The sequence below is a fragment of the Homo sapiens genome, chromosome 4, assembly GCF_000001405.40.
Source record: "Homo sapiens chromosome 4, GRCh38.p14 Primary Assembly".
Lineage (NCBI taxonomy): Eukaryota > Metazoa > Chordata > Mammalia > Primates > Hominidae > Homo > Homo sapiens.
Window position 1 is genome coordinate 126,489,208 of NC_000004.12, and position 3,033 is coordinate 126,492,240.

Here is a 3,033-nt window from a genome sequence, read left to right on the forward strand (position 1 = left end):
CTCTTCTTGGCAAATGGGTACTCAGCAATGTACTCATGTTTAGCTTTTAGTCTTATCCTTATTGCCACTTTGTTCATTAGCCTATTAAGCAAGAACAAGGGCAGCTGAAGCAACAGGCAAACTGACACGCAAGGAATAAGTCATTTTGTCTACCCAATTAGTAAGATTCTCTCCAGCCAAGTTGGCTCTTTCGAGAGCATTTTGCTTATGGAACAATAATGCCTCTACACTCTTTGCTCATTTAAAGAGAATCATTCATAGTCATCTTCCTCAGATCACCATTCACCAGTTTACCAAATATGTTCTTTTTATGCCGCTATCATCCATGCAAATAATTATCTACTACCATTAAATAATTGAAGATCTGTATCTCCAGCCACCTCTCATTCCAGGTAAAACAGACAACAGATACACTGCACTAATCAAAGCTCTGCCATTTTGAGGCTTTTCTTTCATCACTTCTTTCAGGGCCACCCTTCAGGCAGTCATGCTGGACTTATCCACTTTTGAGTGGTGCTAGGATAATCATGCAGAACCATTACTAAACTGAGCCTAGTTTTTTTTTTCTTTCTTAGACATATAGTCATAGGGAAGATGCTATGAAGCTATACGTGGAAAGAAAGGGAGGCAATGTGACAGTGAGAAGTGACAGCGTGTTTGCAGCCCTCGCTCACTCTCGGTGCCTCCTTGGCCTCGGCGCCCACTCTGGCTGTGCTTGAGGTGCCCTTCAGCCCACCGCTGCACTGTGAGAGCCCCTCTCTGGGCTGGCTGAGGCCAGAGCCGGCTCCCTCTGCTTGCGGGGAGGTGTGGAGGGAGAGGTGCAGGCGGGAACTGGGGACGCTTCCAGGCCAGCGCGAGTTCTGGGTGGGTGTGGGCTCAGTGGGCCCGCACTCGCAGCGGCCGGCCGGTGCCGCCAGCCCTGGGCAGTGAGGGGCTGAGCACCCGGACCAGCAGCTGCGGAGGGTGCGCCGGGTCCCCCGGCACTGCTGGCCCGCCTGTGCCACGCTTGAACGCTCAGCCGCCTCCCCCTGGGGCAGCGCTTGGGACCTGCAGCCCACCATACACAAGCACCCCGTCCCCCCTACCCGCCTGCCCCTGCTCCGGCATGGCCCAAGCCTCTCCAACGGGTGCCACCCTGGCACAGGATCCACTGGGGGAAGCCAGCTGGGCTCCTGAGTCGGGTGGGGACTTGGAGAACTTTTATGTCTAGCTGGAGGATTGTAAATGCACCAAACAGCACTCTGTGTCTAGCTCTGGGTTTGTGGATGCACCAATCAGCACTCTGTATCTAGCTAATCTGGTGGGGACTTGGAGAACTTTTATGTCTAGCTAGAGGATTGTAAATGCACCAATCAGCACTCTGTGTCTAGCTCAAGGTTTGTAAATGCACCAATCAGTGCTCTGTGTCTAGCTAAAGGTTTGTAAATTCACCAATCAGTGCTCTGTGTCTAGCTAATCTAGTGGGGACTTGGAGAACTTTCATGTCTAGCTAGAGGATTGTAAATGCACCAATCAACACTCTGTGTCTAGCTAAAGGTTTGTAAATGCACCAATCAGTGCTCTGTGTCTAGCTAATCTAGTGGGGACTTGGAGAACTTTTATGTCTAGCTAGAGGATTGTAAATGCACCAATCAGCACTCTGTGTCTAGCTCAAGGTTTGTAAATGCACCAATCAGCACCCTGTCAAAACAGACCAATCAGCTCTCTGTAAAACGGACCAATCAGCAGGATGCGGGTGGGGTCAGATAAGGGAATAAAAGCAGGCTGCCCTGAGCCAGTAGTGGCAACCCACTTGGGTCCTCTTCCACACCATGGAAGCTTTGTTCTTTTGCTCTTTGCAATAAATCTTGCTGCTGCTCACTCTTTGGGTCCGCACTGCCTTTATGAGCTATAACACTCACCGTGAAGGTCTGCAGCTTCACTCCTGAAGCCAGTGAGACCACAAACCCACCAGAAGGAAGAAACTCCAAACATGTCCGAACATCAGAAGGAACAAACTCGAGACACACCATCTTTAAGAACCGTAACACTCACCGCGAGTGTTCGCGGCTTCATTCTTGAAGTCAGTGAGACCAAGAACCTACCAATTCCAGACACAGCAGGATGAGGATAGATGGAAGGAAACATGGGACAAAACACATTTGCTCCTATAAGTTACTTATAGCTTCTGGTCCTACTCAAGCTGAGTGTCACATGTACCACTCACCATAGGCATACCACTTTCTGCTTCTGTGGGTCAAACCACATGCATTTCATGATAAGTCTCTCAGGTATCATAGGAACTTGGTAGCGTGTTTTTAAGTGTTTAGTTTCTACTAAAGCCCAGTAGTAAGAGAGATGCATTTTTCCCTAAAAAGAAAAATAGTATATACAGAGGACAACATTAGCTTTGCTATAGATCCTATGGGTCTGTGTGGTAATTTACACATAGCAGCCAGCTAAAACCTCCACACAGTATCTCTCTCTGTCATAGACACCTGAATCACAGTTGTATCTGATGAAAAATACATAAACAGGATTTCATGGATGTTTGAGATAGAGTACTAGAGTGAGTCCCAAAAAGAGAGAGGAGACAGAATGGAGCATAAAACAATATTTGAATAAATAAAGACTAAAAACTTCCCAAATTTAGAGAAAGACATAAATTTAAAGATGCTCATTGGCCACACAGGAGAATAAATACAAACATGAAAAAGAAAACATGTCAGGCACATTGTAGTTATCCAGAAAAAATTCATTACATACTCATGTGCACAAAAAGAACAAATGACTGAAACTTTTAACTGTTCAGCTATCCCGTAAAAATCCCTCCAAATTCTAACATATTGAAGTCTAAGCCTCTGTTGTTTCTGTTCTGAAATAAAATTATGATCTAAAGCAAGCTTGTCCAACCTGAAACAAGATAGGGAAGAATAAGGAGCTAATTAAATATTTTGTCTCAGTAAAGTCTAGCTTTGGAAGGATAACATGGAAGTCATAGAGCATAAGTTACATTGCAACATTGTTCCACCTTAACAAAAGGTGTACTGTGTA

General features: G+C 46.0%; 2 annotated features.

The window, feature by feature from the left end:
• Positions 216–731: an enhancer, noted in NCBI's record as "H3K27ac-H3K4me1 hESC enhancer chr4:127410578-127411093 (GRCh37/hg19 assembly coordinates)". NCBI's record gives its function as "activates a minimal SCP1, AML or CMV promoter by ChIP-STARR-seq in primed H9 embryonic stem cells {active_cell/tissue: H9 hESC(primed)}" and the evidence as "EXISTENCE:reporter gene assay evidence [ECO:0000049][PMID:30033119]".
• Positions 732–1,246: an enhancer, noted in NCBI's record as "H3K27ac-H3K4me1 hESC enhancer chr4:127411094-127411608 (GRCh37/hg19 assembly coordinates)". NCBI's record gives its function as "activates a minimal SCP1, AML or CMV promoter by ChIP-STARR-seq in primed H9 embryonic stem cells {active_cell/tissue: H9 hESC(primed)}" and the evidence as "EXISTENCE:reporter gene assay evidence [ECO:0000049][PMID:30033119]".